This window comes from Homo sapiens, chromosome 19 (assembly GCF_000001405.40).
Source record: "Homo sapiens chromosome 19, GRCh38.p14 Primary Assembly".
In the NCBI taxonomy this organism is placed as follows: Eukaryota; Metazoa; Chordata; class Mammalia; order Primates; family Hominidae; genus Homo; species Homo sapiens.
The window spans coordinates 23074079-23095446 of NC_000019.10; the positions used below are offsets into that span (position 1 = coordinate 23074079).

General features: G+C 45.1%; 1 protein-coding gene across 14 annotated transcripts in view, besides 3 other annotated features; it reads left to right on the forward strand.

The window, feature by feature from the left end:
* Nucleotides 745-1492: an enhancer, noted in NCBI's record as "NANOG-H3K27ac-H3K4me1 hESC enhancer chr19:23257625-23258372 (GRCh37/hg19 assembly coordinates)". NCBI's record gives its function as "activates a minimal SCP1, AML or CMV promoter by ChIP-STARR-seq in primed H9 embryonic stem cells {active_cell/tissue: H9 hESC(primed)}" and the evidence as "EXISTENCE:reporter gene assay evidence [ECO:0000049][PMID:30033119]".
* Nucleotides 1133-21368, forward strand: part of ZNF730 (zinc finger protein 730) — a 72011-nt gene continuing 51775 nt past the window's right edge. For 9 of the 14 annotated variants that reach the window (XR_001753564.2, XR_001753566.3, XR_001753565.2 and 6 more), the window contains exons 1-3: nt 1133-1309; nt 20934-21076; nt 21185-21362. Coding sequence is in view for 1 of the 14 variants with exons in the window: in XM_017026115.3 (XP_016881604.1) it covers nt 1280-1309 (30 nt within the window). In the remaining 13 variants the exon portion in view is untranslated. Of the gene's footprint in view, nt 1310-18599; nt 21363-21368 lie in introns of those variants that run through there. The other 5 variants (XR_001753567.3, XM_047437994.1, XM_047437995.1 and 2 more) reach the window with 4 other exon arrangements.
* Nucleotides 3635-4208: an enhancer, noted in NCBI's record as "OCT4-NANOG-H3K27ac hESC enhancer chr19:23260515-23261088 (GRCh37/hg19 assembly coordinates)". NCBI's record gives its function as "activates a minimal SCP1, AML or CMV promoter by ChIP-STARR-seq in naive H9 embryonic stem cells {active_cell/tissue: H9 hESC(naive)}" and the evidence as "EXISTENCE:reporter gene assay evidence [ECO:0000049][PMID:30033119]".
* Nucleotides 19665-20164: an enhancer, noted in NCBI's record as "H3K4me1 hESC enhancer chr19:23276545-23277044 (GRCh37/hg19 assembly coordinates)". NCBI's record gives its function as "activates a minimal SCP1, AML or CMV promoter by ChIP-STARR-seq in naive H9 embryonic stem cells {active_cell/tissue: H9 hESC(naive)}" and the evidence as "EXISTENCE:reporter gene assay evidence [ECO:0000049][PMID:30033119]".

A 21368-nucleotide genomic window follows, 5' to 3' on the forward strand; every position in this document is an offset into this window, starting at 1 on the left:
CTCTGCCTCCTTCAAGCGATTCTCCTGCATCAGCATCAGCCTCCCTAGTAGCTGGGACTACATGCGCACGCCACCACACCCGGCTAATTTTTGTAATTTTAGTAGAGATGGGGTTTCACCATGTTGGCCAGTATGGTCTCTATTTCTAGACCTCAAGACCCGCCCGCCACAGCCTCCCAAAGTGCTGGAATTACAGGCGTGAGCCACCAGGCCTGGCCACCTTGAAGTTTTAAGTGACAACCAAGGATAGCCACCAGTGTCTTGGTTATGGAAGCCTCCTACGTGCTTCCCGCCCCCAGTTTGATTTGCAGGCTCCTGGTTGTGTTGCAGTAAACACGCTTTCCTCTGGCCTTGTCCAATGAATACGGTTCACACAGCTAACAGTACTTCTTGAGAGGGGTTACCATGTAAAGCTGAGAATAAACTGGGTTTAGGTAACGTTGTGCCTCCTTATCACCTGAGAGGCCATTGTTCCTGGTTCATTCTGTAAGTGTATTAGTGCTGTCAGACATCTTTGGACAATTCAAATGAAAAGGGGCTGTGGTTTTATAAAGGAAACAAATGCTTTAGATGTGAAATCCTTCTTTTATTCTCCACTTCTCTTACGTGAAAATTTTTGTTTTATTTATTTATTTTTGAGACAGTGTCTCCCTCTGTCATCCAGGCTGGAGTGCAATGGTGCGATCTTGGCTCACTGCAACTTCTGCCTCCCGGGTTCAAGCGATTCTCCTGCCTCAGCCTCCCGAGCAGTTGGGATTACAGGAGCCCACCACCACGCCCGGCTAGTTTTTGTATTTTTACTAGAGACGGGGTTTCGCCATGTTGGTCAGGAGGGTGTCGAACTCCTGACCTCAGGTGATCCGCCCGCCTCTGCCTCTCAAAGTGCTGGGATCACAGGCGTGAGCCACCGCCCCCCGACGCCTCAGCTCATTTGTTAATTAGCAGTAATTGCCCGGGTCAGTGACACCTCCTACTTGAGCCTCTTTCCCTGTCCATAAAATGCACTAATACTGGGGTGGGTGGGATTGGGAGGTGGGTCCTGGAGCTCCATCCAATCAGTGGCACTGGTGTAGGAACCGCCCGATCAGGCGCGCAGTTGGAGAGGAGGGCGTGGCTTCCGGCATTTGGCGGGGTCTTTGTCTCTCGCTCCCGCCAGAGCTTGGGATCGGTCTTCACTGTTCCGCGTCCTCTACCTGGGAACCACCGACCCCCGCCCGGCGACTTTGTCACAGACTCTGTTGCCCTGTGATCTGCAGGTCCTGGGAGACGCACAGCCAAGATGCCAGGGCACCCTGGAAGCTGTGAAGTGGTGCGTATGCGGGGTTGGGCATCCCTTGAGGCGAGAGCGGGCTGTGAAACCTGCAGGACCGGCCTCCCCACAGTCCGCTCCCGGGTCCGCCGACCTCAGTCCTCTCTGGCGCAGCTCGGCCCCAGGCGTCTCTGGCCGCAAGATGGCGGCTGGGCCCGCGGCCGGGACCCCCAGCGTCTCGCCGCGTCCCTGCTGGGCGCCCTGTCTGGACCTCCCTGGGCAGCTCTGCGCCCGCAGCCCCGAGTATTTCCCAGAGTGCTTAGGGATGCCAGGCGGGTCATCAGGGTAGAATCCCGACTAGGTGTGTGCGTGGGAGGAGCTGCGACCCGTGGGGTTCCCAAGCTTTCCTGTTATTTTTTTTTTCTTTTCTTTTTAGACAGTCTCGCTCTGTCGCTAAGGTAAAGTGCAGTGGTGTGACCTCGGTTTCTGTAAGCTCCGTCTCCCAGGGTCAAGCCTCCCAAAGTGCCGGGATTACAGGGTTGAGCCACCGCGCCTGGCCTAATATATTAATTTATAAGAAATGCATTCGAGTTGGGTTTTAGATTTTTTAAATTTATGAACACAGGGGACTAGAGCCACTTTAGTCTAATTTCCTGCTGTTTAATTATTTTAACACTCCACAGAGGACTCGTTTTCCTCTGTGCCTTCCTAATGTGTGGCAAGCAGGGCTCTAATCCACTTTTTTCCCTTAGCCTAACTCAGGCTTGCAGTAAAATTATAAATTTCCACTTTTGTTCCTACATTCTCAAATGTGGGATATGAGACCAACTTCCCCTGTCCAGTTTACGACACTATCAACTATTTGTCCTTTATTGTACATTAGAGACACGGTATTTTAATTGTTAATCATGATTTTACACAGCAGTGGATGGTGGCAGGTTTTTAAAGATTTGTTTTCTGTCTATAAACATTTCACATGAGAAAAATGTAGAAAATAATCCTCTGTCACTCCACTGTAAAAAATAAAAATAAAAATTATCTCTGCCTCTCCCACTTTTATCTTCCCTAGGTACACACACCTTATTAGTACGTCTTCGGGTTGAAGTTTTGCTTTGGAGAAATTACAGGGCCCTTTACAGCAGCCCTCTGGTCTTTTCTTGGTCATGAGTTTCAGAACTGTCTTAACCAACCCAGGATGCCCGTAGTGACCATATCTCTTGGAGTGTCTAATGAATATCATCCCCTGGGTCATTTCTTAGAGGGCAGCCTGAGGAATGGGAGTATAGCCTCTCAGAGGAGCAACTGGGTGGTCTGGGCCTGAGGACAGTCTCCTGGTATACCATTTGTCTAAAAAGCTACCTCTTAGAACATTAAGATTTTTTTGGTCAAAGGAATGCTTAGGCACCACTGGTGGGAGTTTAAATCAGTTCACCTATTGTCGACAGTGTGGCCATTCCTCAGAGACCTAGAGAAAGCAATACCATTCAACCTAGCAATCCAGTTATTGGGTATATACCCAAAATAATATAAATCATTCTACTATAAAGACACGTGCATGTGTATATTCATTGCAGCACAATTCACAATAGCAAAGACATGGAGTCAAGCTGAATGCCTATCAATGATAGACTCAATAAAGAAAATGTGGTACATATACACCATGGGATATTGTGCAGCTATAAAAAAAATGAGATCATGTCTTTCGGAGGAATGTGGATGGAGCTGTAGGCTGTTATCCTTAGCAAAGTAACACAGGAACAGAAAACTAAATACCACATATTCTCACTTTAAAGTGAAAGTTGAATGATGGGAACACATGGACACAGAGGGGAACAATCCATACTGGGGTCTATTGGAAGGAGGAGGGAGAGGAACAAAAAAAGTAATTAATGGGTACTAGGTTTCATACCTGGGTGATGAAATAATCTTCACAACAAACCCCCATAACACACCTATGTAAAAAATGTGCATAGGTAAAAATGTGTCTCAAACTCCTGACCTCAGGTGATCTGCCCGCCTTGGCCTCCCAATGTGCTGGGATTACAGGTGTAGGTTTTTTAAAAATTTAGGTAGCTTTTCCCATAATTCCCTAAGAGCTTTTTTTTTTTTTTTTTTTTTTTTTTTTTTTGAGATGGCGTTTCACTCTGTCACCCAGGCTGGAGTGCAGTAGCAGTGTCTTGGCTCACTGCAACCTCCAACTCCTGGGTTAAAGCAATCCTCCTGCCTTAGCCTCCCGAGTAGCTGGGATTATAGGCATGTGCCAGCCAACACACCCGGCTAATTTTTGTATTTTTAGTAGAGATAGGGCTTCATCATGTTGGCCAGGCTGGTCTTGAACTCCTGATGTCAAGTGATCTGACCGCCTCAGCCTCCCAAAGTGCTGGGGTTACAGGCGTGAGGCACCACGCCCAGTCTGTGTGGGGAAAAGAGAGATCAGACTGTTACTGTGTCTGTGTAGAAAGAAGTAGGCATAAGAGACTCCATTTTGCTCTGTACTAAGAAAAATTCTTCTGCCTTGAGATGCTATTAATCTGTAACCCTACCCCCAACCCTGTGCTCACAGAGACAAGTGCTGTGTTAACTCAAGGTTTAATGGATTTAGGGCTATGCAGGATGTGCTTTGTTAAACAAGTGCTTAAAGGCAGTATGCTTGTTAAAGTCATCACCAGTCTCTAATCTCAAGTACCCAGGGACACAATACACTGCTGAAGGCCGCAGGGACCTCTGCCTAGGAAAGCCAGGTATTGTCCAAGGTTTTTCCCCATGTGATAGTCTGAGATATGGCCTCATGGGAAGGGAAAGACCTGACCGTCCCCCAGCCTGACATGGGTAAAGGGTCTGTCCTGAGGAGGATTAGTAAAAGAGGAAGACCTCTTTGCAGTTGAGATAAGAGGAAGGCATCTGTCTCCAGGCATGTGTCTTTATAGTAGAATATAGTAGAATGATTTATATTATTCCCGGAGAGTGATTTATATTATTCCCTGGGCAATGGAATGTCTCGGTGTAAAACCCGATTGTATGTTCCATATACTGAGATAGGAGAAAACTGCCTTAAGGCTGCAGGTGAGACATGCTGGCGGCACTACTCTTTAATGCACCAGAGATGTTTATGTATGTGCACATCAAAGTACAGCACCTTTTCTAACCTTGTTTATGACACAGAGATATTTGTTCACGTGTTTTCCTGCTGACCCTCTCCCCACTATTACCCTATTGTCCTGGAACATCCCCCTCTCTTGAGATGGTAGAGATAATGATCAATAAATACTGAGGGAACTCAGAGACCGGTGCTGGCACGGGTCCTCCACATGCTGAGCGCCGCCCCTGGGCCCACTTTTCTTTCTCTATACTTTGTCTCTGTGTCTCTTTCTTTTCTCAGTCTCTCGTCCCACCCGACGAGAAACACCCACAGGTGTGGAGGGGCAGGCCACCCCTTCAGTCTGAAGAATAATTTTCCACTCTGTGCAATTTAAGACAATTATCTTTTTTTTTTTTGAAATGGAGTTTTGCTCTTGTGCCCAGACTGGAGTGCAGTGGCACAATCTCGGCTCACTGCAACGTCCATCTCCTGGGTTCAAGCGATTCTCCTGCCTCAGCCTCCTGAGTAGCTGGGATTACAGGCATGTGCCATCATGCCTGGCTAATTTCTGTATTTTTAGTAGAGATGGGGATTTCACCACGTTGGCCAGGCTGATCTCGAACTCCTGACCTCAGGTGATCTGCCCTCCTCAGCCTCCCAAAGTGCTGGGATTACAGGCGTGAGCCACTGTACCCGGCCCTATCTATGTATTTTTAATCAATGTTGTCCCTGCTTTGTTTATGACACAATTTTTTCTAGGTTTTCAATAAGGCAGAGTTTTGCTCTTGTTGCCCAGGGTAGAGCGCAGCGGTGCGACCTTGGCTCACTGCAACCTCTGCCTCCCAGGTTCAAGTGATTCTCCTGCCTCAGCCCCCTCAGTAGCTAGGATTACAGGCATGCGCCACCACGCCCAGCTTATTTTGTATTTTTAGTGAAGATGAGGGTTTCTCCACGTTGGTCAGGCTGGTCTCCAACTCCCGACCTCAGGTGATCCGCCCGCCTTGGCCTCCCAGAGTGCTGGAATTACAGCCATAGCCACCGCGCCCGGCCTATTGCTTTATTTTGTCTTGGTGAGTAGTCAAGGAAATAATCTTAAATTCACAATCTACTTATAGTTTGAATATATATAATTTTGTGAGAAGAACACTTGTTATTTGAAGGTAATTTTTAAAAAATTTTGTAACTTTTTAGGTATTCTTAAATTTTAAATTGTGGTTAAAAACATGCAATAGTCATTTCAGACATTATTAGGTGTACAGTTTAGAAGTATTAAGTGCAGTCCTGTTGTTTTCCAGGAGGTTAGAGATGATTTTTGTCTTACAAAAGTAAAAGCAAATACTCACTAAACAACAAATTGTCCTTTCCACCTCTCTCTAGCTCCTGAAGAACCCCATTTTACTTTCTTTTTTCATGACTTTGACTAAGTATTCTATGTAAGTGTGATTATACAGTGTCTCTTTTTTTGACTATTTTATTTTACTTGACATAGTATCGTAAAGATTTATCATTATTGTAGTATTTGTCAAGATGTCCCTATTTTATTTATTTATTTATTTGGAGTCGAACTCTTGCTGTATCTCCCAGGCTGGAGTGCAGTGGCGCCATCTTGGCTAACTGCAACCTCTGCTTCCTGGGTTCAAGCAATTCTCCTGCCTCAGCCTCCTGAGTAGCTGGGATTACAGGCACGCGCCACCATGCCCAGCTAATTTTTGTATTTTTAGTAGAGACAGAGTTTCACCATGTTGGTCAGGCTGAGATGACCCTATTTCAAAAGACTGAATAATATCCTGTTGTATATATGTGCCGCATTCGTTTAATCTACTCATTTGTAAAGGGACATTTGCTTCCAGGTATTATCTTTTGTGAGTCATACTGCAATGTACATGAATGTACAAATATCTGTTCCATGTTTTGCCTTGACTATGGGATATTTTGAATCCACTGATTTAGTGTCATGTATATACTCTTATTTTTTTTTTTTTATTTTGAGACAGAGTCTCACTCTGCCACCCAGGCTGGAGTGCAGTGGCGTGATCTCGGCTCACTGCAACCTTTGCCTCCCGACTTCAAGTGATTCTCTACCTCAGCCTTCTGAGTAGCTGGGATTATAGGTGCGCACCACCATGCCTGGCTAAGTTTTTTATTTTTAGTAGAGACGGGGTTTCAGCATGTTGCCCAGGCTGGTCTCAAATTCCTGGCCTCAAGTGATCCACCTGCCTCGGCCTCCCAAAGTGCTGGGATTACAGACGTGAACCACTGTGCCTGGCTATGCTCTTACTTTTATTGCCTGATCTCTTGATGTTGTGTTCCCCAAATCATTGCCAAACCCATTGTCATGAAGCTTCCCCCTTCTGTATTGTTCTAGGAGTTTTACAGTTATAGATTTTATGTTAAAGCCTTAGTTCATTTCTTTTTTTCTGTTTTGTTTCTTTTTTCTTTTCTTTTTTTTTTTTTTTTGAGATGGAGTCTTGCTCTGTCGCCCAGGCTAGAGTGCAGTGGCACAATCTCGGTTTACTGCAATCTCTGCCTCCCAGGTTCTAGCGATTCTCCTGCCTCTGCCTCCCAAGTAGCTGGGATTACAGGTGCACGCCACCACTCCTGGCTAAGTTTTGAATTTTTCGTAGATACAGTGTTTCGCCATGTTGGCCAGACTGCTCTCGAACTCCCGACCTCAGGTGATCCAGCCGCCTCTGCCTCCCAAAGTGCTGGGATTACAGGCGTGAGCCACCATACTAGACCTCTTTTTTTCTTTTTTTTTTTGAGGGTCTCACTTTGTTGCAGAGGCTGGAGGGCAGTAGTGTGATCTCGGCTTGCTGCAAACTCTGCCTCCTGGGTTCAAGTGATTCTCGTGCCTGAACCTCCTGAGCAGCTTGGATTACAGGCATTTGCCACCACTCCCAGCTAATTTTTGTTTTTTGTTTTTCTTTTTTTGAGATGTAGTCTCTCTCAGTCGCCCAGGCTGGAGTGCAATGGTGCTATCTTAGCTTACTGCAACCTCCGCCTCCCGGGTTCAAGCGATTCTCCTGCCTCAGCCTTCTGAGTAGCTGGGATTACAGGCGTGAGCCACCACGCCCACCTGATCTTTGTAGTTTTAGTAGAGATGGGGTTTCACCATGTTGGCCAGGCTGGTCTCAAATTCCTGACCCCAGGTGATCCACCCGCCTCGGCTTCTCAAAGTGCTGGGACTACAGGTGTGAGCCACTGCACCTGGCTAATTTTTGTATTTTCAGTGGAGATGGGATTTTGCCATGTTGGCCAGACTGGACTTGAATTTCTGGGTTCAAGTGATTCACCCACCTCGGCCTCCCAAAGTGCTGGGATTTCAGTCTTGAGCCAACACACCCAGCCTTATCTTTTATTTATTTGTTTATAGACAGACTCTTGTTCTGTCACCCAGACTGGAGTGCAGTGGAGCAATGATAGCTCACTGTAACCCCAAACTCGCAGACTATCTTTCCACCTCAGCTTCCCTAGTAGCTGGGGCTACAAAAATATGCCACCATGCCATGTCTATTTATTTTTTGTAGAGATGAGGTCTCATGTTGTTCAGGCTGGTCTTGAACTTCTGACTTCAAGTAATTCTCTTGTCTCAGTCTTTCACACTGTAGGAATTACAGTCATGTGCCACCACACCTGGACTTTGCTAACTATTTTGTAATATGCAACACTTTTTTATTCATCATTGTCATCCTACTGTGTAATAGAAAACCAGAACTTACTCTTCTTCTTTAATTGTAACTTAATATTTGTTAAGTAACCTCTTCCCATCCTCCCACTTTAGTCTCTGGTGACACCTGTTGTATTCTTTGCTTCTATAAACCCTTTTTTTCAGAGTCCTCGTATGAGTAAAATTATGAGATCATGAAGTATTTGTCTTTCTGTGTATGACATTTCACTTAACATGATATCCTCTTGGTCCACCCATGTTGTTGCAAATAGCAGAATTTTTTTTTTTTTTGAGATGGAGTCTTGCTCTGTTGCCCAGGCTGGAGTGCAATGGTACGATCTTGGCTCACTGCAACCTCTGCCTCCCAGGTTCAAGCAATTCTCCTGCCTCAGCCTCCCGAGTAGCTAGGATTACAGGCGCCCGCCTCCATGCCCAGCTAATTTTTTGTATTTCAGTAGAGACAGGGTTTCACCATGTTGCCCAGGCTGGTTGCAAACTTCTGAGCTCAGGCAGTCCACCCGCCTCAGCCTCCCAAAGTGTTGGGATTACAGGCGTGAGCCACAGCGCCTGGCATAATTTTTTTTAATAGCTAAGTAGTATTGTATTGTGTATGTATACCACATTTTCTTTTTTCATTTTTTTTTTGAGACAAAATCTCGCTCTTGTTACCCAGGCTGGAGTGCAATGGCGTGATCTCGGCTCACCGCAATCTCTGCCTCTTGGGTTCAGGTGATTCTCCTGCATCAGCTTCCCAAGTAGCCGGGATTACAGGCATGTGCCACCATGCCCAACTAATTTTGTGTTTTTAGGGGACGGGGTTTCTGCACGTTGGTCAGGCTGGTCTCGAACTCCTGACGTCAGGTCATCTGCCCACCTCAGGCTTCGAAAGTGCTGGGATTACAGGTGTGAGCCACCGGACCCGGCCTTTTTTCTTTATTCATTTATCTGTTGCTATACATTTGAATTGATTCTGTATCTTAGCTTTTATAAATAGTGCTGCAATAAACACGGGAATGCAGATATCTTTTTGAAATATGGATTTTCTTTTTTTTAGATATATAGGCAGTAGTGGCTGAGCCCGGTGGCTCACATCTGTAATTCCAGCACTTTGGGAGGCTGAGGCCGGCTGATCACGAGGTCAGGAGTTCGAGACCAGCCCAGCCAATACGGTGACAACCTGCCTCTACTGAAAATACAAAAATTAGCCAGGCATGGTGGCACATGCCTGTAGTCCCAGCTACTCGGGAGGCTGAGGCAGGAGAACCGCTTGAACCGGGGAGGGGGAGGTTGCAGTGAGCCGAGATTGTGCCACTTCACTCCAGCCTGAGGGACACAGCGAGACTCCATCTCAAAGAAAGAAAGAAGATACATACCCAGTAGTAACATTACTGGGTCATATAGTAGCTCTATTTTTAATTATTCGAGGAACCTCCATACTATTTTCTATAATGGACATAAATATTTACACTCCCGCCAACAGTGTGTATGTGTTTCCTCTTTATTACATCCTCATTAGTGCTTGTTTTTTTTTTTTTAAGTATAGCCATTCTAATAGCGTTAGGTTGTATATTATTGTAGTTTGGGTTTGCATTTACCTGGTGATTAGTTTATGTTGAGCATCTTTTTATGTACCTGTTAGCCATTCATATGTTTTTTTGATAATACCTGTTAAGATCTACATATTTTTAATAGATTGTGTTTTATTTTAGAATTTCACAGTTTTTAAAATAATTTTGAATATTAATTCCTTGTCATATGTATAGTTTGTACATTATTTTCCTTCATTTTTTAGATTGCCTCTTCACCCTCATAGTTGTTTCCTTTTATATGCAAAAGCATTTTAGCTTGATGTAATCTCATTAGCTCATTTTTGCTTTTGTTTCCTATGCTTTTGAAGTCTTATTTTAAAAAATTATTTCCCAGTCTAATGTTTTAAAACATTTTTTCTATGTTTCTGTTTAATAGTTTCATAGTTTGTGGTATTACATTTGAGTCTTTAATTCATCTTGAGTTGATTTTTGTATATAATGAGGGGTAGGGATCTGGTTATATTATTCTGTGTATGGATATTTGATTTTCCCTGCCATTTGTTGAAGAGATTGTCTTTTCCCCAAAGTGTGTTCTCAATACCATTGTTAAAAACTAGTTGGCTTTAGGTGCATAGATTTGTTTCTGAGCTTATTGGGCACATTGATCTATGTGTTTGTTTTTATGTGAGTACAATGCTGTTTTGGTTATAATAGCCATGTAGCAAATTTTGAAGTCAGATATTGTGATGCCTTCAGCTTTGCGCTTTTAAAAAAAATGTATAAAAAGTATTTCCTAGACAAGTGGCAGATTACATTTTAGAAACAAAACCATCTTTGAAAATACTGGCCGATTCTTCTTTAAAACGTACAAATAGGTCTTTTAAAAAAACTTAAGTTCAGGGGTACAAGTGTACGTTTGTTGCACTGGTAAACATGTGTCATATGGGTTTGTTGTAAAGATTAAGCCTAAGTACCCATTAGTTATTTTTCCTGATCCTTTTCCTCCTCCAACCTTCCACCCTCTGAAAGGCCCCAGTGTGTGCTGTTCCCCTCTGTGTGTCCATGTGTTCTCATTATTTACCTCCCACTTATAAATGAGAACATGCAGTATTTGGTTTTCTATTCCTGTGTTAGTTTGCTAGGGATAATGGCCTCCAGCTCTGTCCACATGCCTGCAAAGGACATGATCTCATTCTTTTTTATGGCTGCATAGTATTTCATGGTGTATATGTACCACATTTTTCTTTATCCAGTCTATCATTAATGGACATTTCAGTTGATTTCATGTCTTTGCTATGGTGAATAGTGCTGCAGTGAACATACACGTGAATGTGTGTTTATAATAGAAGAATTTATATTCTTTTAGCTATATACCCAGTAATGAAATTACTGGTCAAATGTTATTTCTGTCTTTAGGTCTTTAAAAAATCACCACACTGTCTTCAACCTTAGCTGAACAAATTTACACTCCCACCAACAGAGTATAAGCATTTCTTTTCCTCCACAACCTCGTCAGCATCTGTTATTATTTTGCTTTTTTAAAATAGCCATTCTGACTAAGGTGAGATGGTATCTCATTGTGGTTTTGATTTGCATTTCTCTAATCGGTGATGTTGAGCTTTCTTTCAGATGATTTTGATCACACATAAGTCTTCTTTTTAAAGGCTCATGTCCTTTTAAAGGTTCGTGTCCTTTACCCACCTTTGTTTGTTTTTTTTCTTTTTAAAGGATCATGTCCTTTACCCATCTTTTTTTGCTTTTTTTCTTTTTTTTTAAGTAGAGACAGGGTTTCACCATGTTGGTCAGGCTGTTCTCGAACTCCTGACCTCAAATGATCCGCCCTCCTCAGCCTCCCAAAGTGCTGGGATTACAGGCATGAGCCACCATGCCCGTCTTTTTTTTTTTTTTTTTTTTTTTTTTTTTTTAAATATAGACAGAGTCTTGCTCTGTCACCGAGGCTGGAGTGCGGTGGCATGATCTTGGCTGCAACTTCCACCTCCCAGATTGAAGCGATTCTCCTGCCTCTGCCTCTCTAGTAGATGGGATTACAGGCTCCCACCACCAAGTTTGGCTAATTATTTTTTTGTATTTTTAGTAGAGATAGGGTTTCACCATGTTGACCAGGCTAGTCTCGAACTGCTGACCTCAGGTGGTCCACCCGCCTTTGTCTCCAAAAGTGATGATTACTGATGTGAGCCACCGCACCCAGACCTATTTCACCCAATTTTTTTTTCTTTTTTTTTTTTTTTTTTTTTTTTTTTGAGATGGAGTCTCGCTCTGTCACCCAGGCTGGAGTGCGGTGGCACGATCTCGGCTCACTGCAGCCTCCGCCTCCCAGGTTCAAGCAATTCTCTGCTTCAGCCTCCTGAGTAGTTGGGATTACAGGCGCCTGCCACCATGTCCAGCTAATTTTTGTATTTTTAATAGAGACGGGGTTTCACCGTCGTGGCCAGGCTGGTCTGGAATTCCTGACCTCATGATCCACCCGCCTTGGCCTCCCAAAGTGCTGTGATTACAGGCGTGAGCCGCCTTGCCCGGCCCCACCCAATTTTTAATGGAGTTGTTTATGTCTTGTAAATTTGTTTCTTCTAGCTGCTGGATATTAGACCTTTGACGGATGCATAGTTTGCAAAAATTTTCTCCCATACCGTAGGTTCTGTTTACTCTGTTCATAGTTTCTTTTGCTTTGCAGAAGCTCTTTAGTTTAATTAGATTTTACTTATTTATTTATTTATTGTGATTGCTTTGGCATCTTTGTAATGAAGTCTTTGCCTGTGCCTATGTCCTGAATCATGTTACCTAGGTTGTCTTTCAGGGTTTTTATAGTTTTGGGTTTTTCATTTAAGTTTGTAATCCATCTTGAGTTAGTTTTTGTATAGGGTGTAAGGAAAGGATCAAGTTTTAATTTTCTGCAAATGGCTAGCCAGTTTATTTATTGAAGAGAAAATTCTTTGCTCATTGCTTTTGTCAGCTTTGTCAAAGGTCAGATGGTTGTAGGTGTGCAGCTTAATTTCTGGCCCTCTATTCTGTTCCATTGGTCTGTTTCTGTTCTTGTACCAGTACCATGCTGTTTTAGTTTCTGGAGCCCTGTAGTATAGTTGAAAGTCGGGTAGTGTGATGCCTCCAGCTTTGCTATTATTTGTGTTTAGGATTGTCATGCCTATTCAGGGTGTTTTTTGGAAAGTTTCATATGAATTTTAAAATAATTTTTTTCTAATTCTGTGAGAATGTCAATGCTTGTTTAATGGGAAAAGCATCGAATCTATAAATTGCTTTGGGCAGTATGGCCATTTTAGTGATATGGATTCTTATTATTCATAAGCATGGAAAGTTTTTCCATTTGTGTCATTTCTGATACCTTTGAGCAGTGGTTTGTAGTTCTCCTTGTAGAGATCTTTCACCTCCCTTGTTAGCTGTATTCCTAGGCATTTTATCTTTTTTGTGGCAACTGTGAATGTGAGTTTGTTCGTGATTTGGCTCTCAGCTTGACTGTCATTAATGTAAAAAAATGCTAGTAATTTTTGGCTGGGTGCAGTGGCTCATGCCTATAATCCCAGCACTTTGGGAGGCCCAGGCAGTTGGATCACCTGAGATCAGGTGTTCGAGACCAGCCTGGCCAACATGGTGAAATCTTGTCTCTACTAAAATTACAAAAATTAGCCAGGCATGGTGGCGGGTGCCTGTAATCCCAGGTACTCAGAAGGCTGAAGCAGGAGAATTGCTTGAACCCGGGAGGCAGAGGTTGCAGTGAGTCGAGATCGCACCACTGCACTCCAGCCTGGGAGACAGAGCAAGATTCCGTCTCAAAGAAAAAAAAGAAAAAAAGAAATGCTAGTAATTTTTGCACATTGATTTTGTATTCTGAGAGTTTGCCAAAGTTGTTTATCAGCTTAAGGAGCTTATGGGCTGAGATTATGGCATATTCTCGATATAAGATTATGTTATCTGCAAACAGGAATAGTTTGATTTCCTCTTTTTCTATTTGAATGCCCTTTATTTTTCTTGTCTTTTCTTGCTTTTTTTTTTTTTTTGAGACGGAGTTTGCTCTTGTTGCTCAGGCTGGAGTGCAATGGCATGATCTTGGCTCACTGCAGCCTCCACCTCTGAGGCTCAAGCAATTCTCCTGCCTCAGCCTCCCAAGTAGCTGGGATTACAGGCATGCGCCACCACGCCTGGCTAATTTTGTATTTTTAGTAGAGACAGGTTTCTTCATCTTGGTCAGGCTGGTTTCGAACTCCCAACCTGAGGTGATCCACCACCTCGGCCTCCCAAAGTGCTGGGATTACAGGTGTGAGCCACCACACTCAGCCTAGATGCCCTTTATTTCTTTCTCTTTTCTTGTTACCCGGACCAGAAGTTCCAATATTATGTTGAATAGGAGTGATGAAAGAGGGCATCCTTGTCTAGTTTTAGTTTTTGTTTGTTTGGTTTTTTGAGAGGGAGTCTCACCCTATCACCCAGGCTGGAGTGCAGTGGTGCGATCTTGGCTCACTGGAACCTCCGCCTCCCGGGTTCAAGCAATTCTCCCTGCCTCAGCCTCCCGAGCAGCTGGGATTACAGGTGCCCACCACCACGCCTGGCTAATTTTTGTATTTTTAGTAGAGATGTGGTTTCACCATGTTGGCCAGGCTGGTCTTGAACACCTGACCTCAGGTGATCTGCCCGCCTTGGCCTCCCAAAGTGGTGGGATTACAGGTGTGAGCCACGCACCCAGCCTAGTTTTAGTTTTCAACGAGAATGTTTCCAGTTTTTGCCCATTCAGTATAATGTTGGCTGTGGGTTTGTCATAGATGTCTTTTAGTATTTTGAGATATATTTTTTCAATACCTTGTTTATTGAGAGGGGTTTTTTTGTTTGTTTGTTTTTTGTTTTTCTCCAGATGGTGTCTCACTCTGTCTCTCCAGCACCTAGGCTGGAGTGCAATGGCATGATCTCAGTGCAGCCTCCACCTACTGGGCTCAAGAGATTCTCCCACCTCAGCCTCCCGAGTAGCTGGGACTACAGGCGTGTGCTACCACGCCTGGCTAATTTTTTGTATTTTTAGTAGAGATGGGTTTTCACCATGTTGGCCAGGCTGGTCTTGAACTCCTGACCTCAAGTGATCTGCCTACCTCAGCTTCCCAAAGTGCTGGGATTACAGGTGTGAGCCACCATGCCCAGCGTATTGAGAGTTTTTAACATGAATGGATGTTGAAGTGTATTGAAAGTTTTTTATGCATCTATTGAAATGATCATGTGGTTTTGTTCCTTTTTGTTTGTTGGTTGGTTGGTGGGTTGGTTGGTTTTTGAGATGGAGTTTCTCTCTTGTTGCCCAGGCTGGAGTGCAGTGGTGCGATCTCGGCTCACCACAACCTCCACCTCCCGGGTTCAAGTGATTCTTCTTCCTCAGCCTCTCGAGTAGCTGGGATTACAGGCATGTGCCACCTTGCCTGGCTAATTTTGTATTTTTAGTAGAGAGGGGGTTTCTCCATGTTGGTCAGGCTGGTCTCGAACTCTCGACCTCAGGCGATCCACCTGGCTCGACCTCCCAAGTGTTGGGCTTACAGGCGTGAGCCACCGCGCCTGGCTGATTATGTGGTTTTTGTCTTTAGTTCTGTTATATGATGCATCGTATTTCTTTTTTCCTATTTATTTTTTTCTGTCTCCCAGGCTGGAGTGTAGTGGTGTGATCTCGGCTTCTGGCAACCTTTGTCTCCTAGGTTCAAGCAATTCTCCTGCCTCAGTCCCAAGTAGCTGGGACTACAGGTGGGCGCCTCCATGCCCTGCTAATTTTTGTATTTTTAGTAGAGACAGTGATATTGTTTGATTGAGTCTCCATTCAGATCTCAATTTGAATTGTGTTTCCCAGAATTCCCATGTGTTATGGGAGGGACCGGGGGGAGATTATTGAATCGTGGGGTCTGTTTTTTTCCTGTAGTATTCTCGTGATATTGAATAAGTCTCACAAGATATGATGGGTTTATTAGTGGTTTCTGCTTTGCTTCTTTCTCATTTTCTCTTGCTGCTGTGATGTAAGAAGTGCCTTTTGGCTACTGCCATGTTTCTGATGCCTCCCCAGCCATGTGGAATTGTAAGTCCAATTAAACCGCTTTTTCTTCCCCGTCCTGGTTATGTCTTTATCAGCAGTGTGAAAACAGACTAATACAGTAAATTGGTACCAGTAGACTGGGGCCTTGCTGAAAAAAAATAACCGAAAATGTGGAAGCGATTTTGGAACTGAGTAACAGGCAAAGGTTGGAACAGTTTGGAGGGCTCAGAAGAAGACAGGAAAATGTGGGAAAGTTTGGAACCTCCTAAAAATGTATTGAATGGCTTTGAAAAAAATGCTGATAGTGATATGAACAATAAGATTCCAGCTGAGAGGGCTGGGCACAGTGGCTCATGCCTGTAATCCCAGCACTTTGAGAGGCTGAGGAGGGCAGACCACGAGGTCAAGAGATCAAGACTATCCTGGCCAACATGGTGAAACCCTGTCTCTACTAAAAATACAAAAATCAGCTGGGTGTGGTGGCGCATGCCTGTAGTCCCAGCCACTTGGGAGGCCGAGGCAGGAGAATTGTTTGAACCCGAGAGGCGGAGGTTGCTGTGAGCCAAGATTGTACCACTGTACTCTAGCCTGGCAACAAAATGAGACTCCATCTCAAAGAAAAAAAAAAAAATCCCAGCTGAGGTGGTCTCAGATGGAGATGAGAAACTTGGAACCGAAGCAAAGGTGAGCCTTATGTTTTAGCAAAGTGACTGGTGGCATTTTGCCCTGCCCTAGAGATTTGTGGAACTTTGAGCTTGAGAGAGATGATTTAAGGTATCTGGTGGAAGAAATTTCTAAGCAGAAAAGCATTCAAGAGGTGACTTGGGTACTTTTAAAAGCACTCTGTTTTAAAAGGGAAACAGAACATAAAAGTTCAGAAAATTTGCAGCCTGATGATGCAATAGAAAAGAAAACCCCATTTTTTGAGGAGAAATTCAAGCTGGCTACAGAAATTTGCATAAGTAGCAAGGAGCCTAATGTTAATCCCCAAGACCATGGGGAAAACATCTCTAGGCCATGTCAGAGATTTTCACAGCAGCTCCTCCCATCACAGGCCCAGAGGCCCAGGAAGAAAAAGTGGTTTTGCTAGGCATGGTGGCTCATGCCTGTAATCCCAGCACTTTGGGAGGCTGAGGTGGGTGGATCACCTGAAGTCAGGAGTTTGAGACCAGCCTGGCCAATATGGTGAAACCCCATCTCTACTAAAAATACAAAAACTAGCCAGGCATGGTGGCAGGTGCCTGTAATTTCAGCTACTCAGGAGGCTGAGGCAGGAGAATTACTTGAACCCAGGAGGCGGTGGAGGTTGCAGTGAGCCAAGATCATGCCATTGCACTCCATCCTGGGTGACAAGAGCAAGACTTCGTCTCAAAAAAAAAAAAAAGAAAAAGAAAAAGTGGTTTTGTGGCCCGGGGCCCAGGGTCCCCATGCTGTGTGCAGCCTAAGGACTTGGTGTCCTGTGTCCCAGCTACTCTAGCCATGGCTGAAAGGGGCCAATGTACAGCTTTGGCTGTGGCTTCAGAGGGTGGAAGCCTCAAGCCTTGGTAGCTTCCATGTGGTGTTGAGGCTGTGGGTGCACAGAAGTCAAGAATTGAGGTTTAGGAACCTCCACCTAGATTTCAGAAAATGTATGGCAACACGTGGATATCCGGGCAGAAGTTTGCTGCAGGGGTGGAGCCCTCATGGAGAACCTCTGCTAGGGCAGTGTGGAAGGGAAATGTGGGGTCAGAGCCCCCACACAGTCCCTACTGGGGTACAGCCTAGTGGAGCTGTGAGAAGAAGGCCACCATCCGCCAGACCCCAGAATGGTAGATTCACCCACAGCTTGCACTGTGCACCTGGAAAAGCTGCAGACACTCAATGCCAGCCAGTGAAAGCAACTGGGAGGGAAGCTGTTCCCTGCAAAGCCACAGGGGTGGAGCTGTTCCGGATCATGGGAACCCACCTTTTGCATCAGCGTGACCTGGATCTGAGACTTGGAGTCAAAGGAGATCATTTTGGAGCTTTAAAATTTGACTGCCTCGCTGGATTTTGGACTTGCATGGTCCCTGTAACCCCTTTATTTTGTCCAATTTATCTCATTTGGAATGGCTATATTTACCCAATGCCTGTACCCCTATTGTATCTAGGAAGTAACTAGCTTGCTTTTGATTTTACAGACTCATAGGCAGAAGGGACTTGCCTTGTCTCAGATGAGACTTTGGACTGTGGACTTTTGGGTTAATGCTGAAATGAGTTAAGACTTTGGGGATCTGTTGGGGAAGCATGATTGGATTTGAAATGTGAGGACATGAGATTTGGAGGGGCCAGGGGCAGAATGATATTCTTTGGATGTGTCCCCATTCAAATCTCAACTTGAGTTGTGTATCCCAGAAGTCCCGTGTTTTGTGGGAGTGACCCAGGGGAATGTAATTGAATCATGAGGGCTGTTCTTTCCCATGCTATTCTCGTGATAGTGAATATCTCTCTCAAGATCTGATGGGCTTATCAGGGGTTTCCAGTTTTGCTTCTTTCTCATTTTCTCTTGCTGCTGTGATATAAGAAGGGCCTTTTGCCTCCCACCATGATTCTGATGCCTCCCTAGCCATGTGGAACTGTAAGTCCAATTAAACCTTTTTCTTCTCAGTCTCAGGTATGTCTTTATCAACAGCATGAAAACAGATTAATATAAATGGGGTTGGTGGCCAGGTGCTGTGGCTCTTGCCTGTAATCCCAGCACTTTGGGAGGCCGAGGCAGGCGAATCACCTGAGGTTGGGAGTTCGAGACCAGCCTGATGAACATGGAGAAGCCCCATCTCTCTTAAAAAAATTAGCTGGGCATGGTGGTGCATGCCTATAATCCCAGCTACTTGGGAGGCTGAAACAGGAGAATCACTTGAACCCAGGAGGCAGAGGTTGCGGTGAGCCAAGATTGCACCATTGCACTCCAGCCTGGGCAAGAGCAAAACTCCATCTCAAAAAAATAAAAATAAAAAACAGATGGGGTTTCACCATGTTGGCCAGGCTGGTCTCAAACTCCTGACTTCAGATGATCCGCCCACCTCGGCCTCCCAAAGTGCTGGGATTGCATGTGTGAGCCACCACAGCTGGCCTGAATAATATTTCTTAATTTCAGTATGTTCAACCAACCTTGCATTTCAGAGATGAAGCCTACCTGATTCTGGTGGATAAGTTTTTTCATTTGCTGCTGAATTTGGTTTGCCAGTATTTTGTTGAAATTTTTTGCATCACTGTTCATCAAAGATACTTACCTGAAGCTTTCTTTTTTTGTTGTACTCTGTTGGGTTTTGGTGTGAAGATTGTCCTGGCCTCATAGAATGAGTTAGGGAGAAGTCCCTTCTCCTCAATTGTTTTTTTGTTTTTGTTTTTGTTTTTTTGAGACAAAACAAAACTCTTGTCACCCAGGCTGGAGTGGAATGGTGTGATTTCAGCTCACTGTAACCTCCGCCTCCCGGGTTCAAGTGATTCTTCTGCCTCAGCCTCTTACAGGCACACGCCACTAGGCCCAGCTAATTTTGTATTTTTAGTAGATACAGGACTTCGCCCTGTTAGCCAGGCTGTTCTCGAACTCCTGATCTCAGGTGATCCACTCGCCTTGGCCTCCCAAAGTGCTAGGATTACAGGCATGAGCCACTGCGCCCAGCCTGTCGTTAATTTTTTGAAAGAATTTCAGTAGAAACTGTACCAGCTCTTCTTTTTACATCTGGTGGAATTCAACTGTGAATCTTTCTTCCCATGGGGACTCAGGGACCATCCTGTGTCATCTTCTGAGGGCCCGGAAGGGGTTTGCCTGTGGGCTTTCTAATTGCCGGAAGGGACGGCATGCTGCATGGTGGGTGCCCCTGCTGTGGGTTAGGGGGTACCCCTGCTTGGCATCCCGCCCCTCTGGTTCCTGCTTCCCCCCCTCATTCTTGGGGGTGGGGGTGGTGGCAGCTTGATCCCCGGGCTGGGACAGGGCTGGGGGAGCCTGGTGTGGATGGCTGAGGCACTGGTGTCTGGGGATGTGGCCCAGCAGGCTCCATCCCAGGTAAGGCCCTGAGGGCCCAGAGGTAGCCGTCTTGGTCCCAGCCCTCTCCCACCCCAGGGGTAGGGTGGTCACTAAGGGGCAGTCCCTGCACTTGAGCCCTTCCTCCTCTTTCCACCACCTACGGTTGATCAACAGACGGGGTCAGGGGCATGGTGGGAAGGAAGGTTGGCAACTTAGATACCAGAGGAACAGCTTCAGGCCACGAGCGCCTCCCTTGGCCTGTAGGGTGGACCCGCTGTGCCTCTGCCAGTTGGCTTTTCCTTCTGTCTGCCAGGTCCACCAGATGTTTGCCAAGAGTGTAGGACTTGGCCACCAGCTTGAAGTGTTTCAGGTGGACCAGAGGGCTCTCGCCGGGGTCAGAACTGCTTAGATCCAGCAGAGGGTGCGATTGTGGCTCACTGCTACCTCCATCTTCCCAGGCTTACCGAGGCGATCCTCCCATTTTGGTCTCCCAAGTGGCTGCGGCTCTGGGGATCTTTCTGTTTTGTTTTGTTTTGTTTTTTTCCCTAGGCCCACTTCAAGTTTGTTTCCACAGTACATTGAATTGCTGTTTTTTTTTTCTTTCTTTTCTCTCTGTTATGCTCCTTCCTGCATACTGAAGTTCCTGTTATTTTAGATTTTTTCTTTTCTTTTTTTTTTTTAAATCAGGCTTTGGCTCCCAAAGTGCTGGAATTACAGGTGTGAGCCACCATGCCTGGCTCTATCTATCTATCTATCTATCTATCTATCTATCTGTCTATCTGTCTATCTATCTGTGGGCACTCTATAGATAGGTAGGTAGGTAGGTGGTAGGTAGGTAGGTAGAAAATAAATAAGTTTTCATTTATTTATTTATTTATTTTGAGATGGAATTTCACTCTTGTCACCCAGGCTGGGCACCATCTCCAGTCACTGCAACCACCGCTTCCTGGGTTCAAGCAATTCTCCATCCTCAGCCTCCCAAGTATCTGGGATTACAGGCGTGTGCCACCACACCCAGCTAACTTTTGTATTTTTAGTAGAAATGGGGTTTCAACATGTTGACCAGGCTGATCTCGAACTCCTGACCTCAGGTGATCCACCCACCTCGGCCTCCCAGAGTGCTGGGATTACAGTCGTGAGCCAAGGAGCCCGGCCTATCTATTTTTTTAGTAGAGATGTGGTCTCACTATGTTGTCCAGGCTTTGGTTATATATATTACTCTTTTAACTTTGTCATTTTTCATTAGAGATGTCTCACAATGTTGCCCCCAGTATCGTATCAAACTCCTTGGCTCCATCTATCCTCCCGATTTGGCCTCCCAAAGTGCTGGGATTACAGGCATGAGCCACCGTGCCTCATCTGGTTATATTTTTGATGTGTTGACTCTTTCCAGTTCAGATGCATAATCTCATCCCTGAACATCCTGCTGGTGCGATTATGACATATGATTTTACCCAGCACCAGAGGGATTTGATGCTCCTGCCTGGGCCCAACTCACAGAAGGGATTGTGACATATCACTGGACCCAGCACTGAGGTAATGTGACTATCTTACTGCCTTGACACTGCCCACAGAGGACATAGTGACATATCACTGGGTCTTGTACCCAGGTGGTGTGAATCTTCTGCCTTGGTTCTTCCACAGGGGACATTGTGTAATATCGTTGGGCCTCACACGTACGTTATGTGACTCTCCTGCGTGTGCCCTGTCCATGTGGGCCATTGTGACATATTGCTGGGTCCAACAACTGGTTGATGTAGCTCTACTGCCTAGGTCCTGCCTATGGAGGACTTTGTGATGTATCCCTGAACCCATCACACAGGTAATG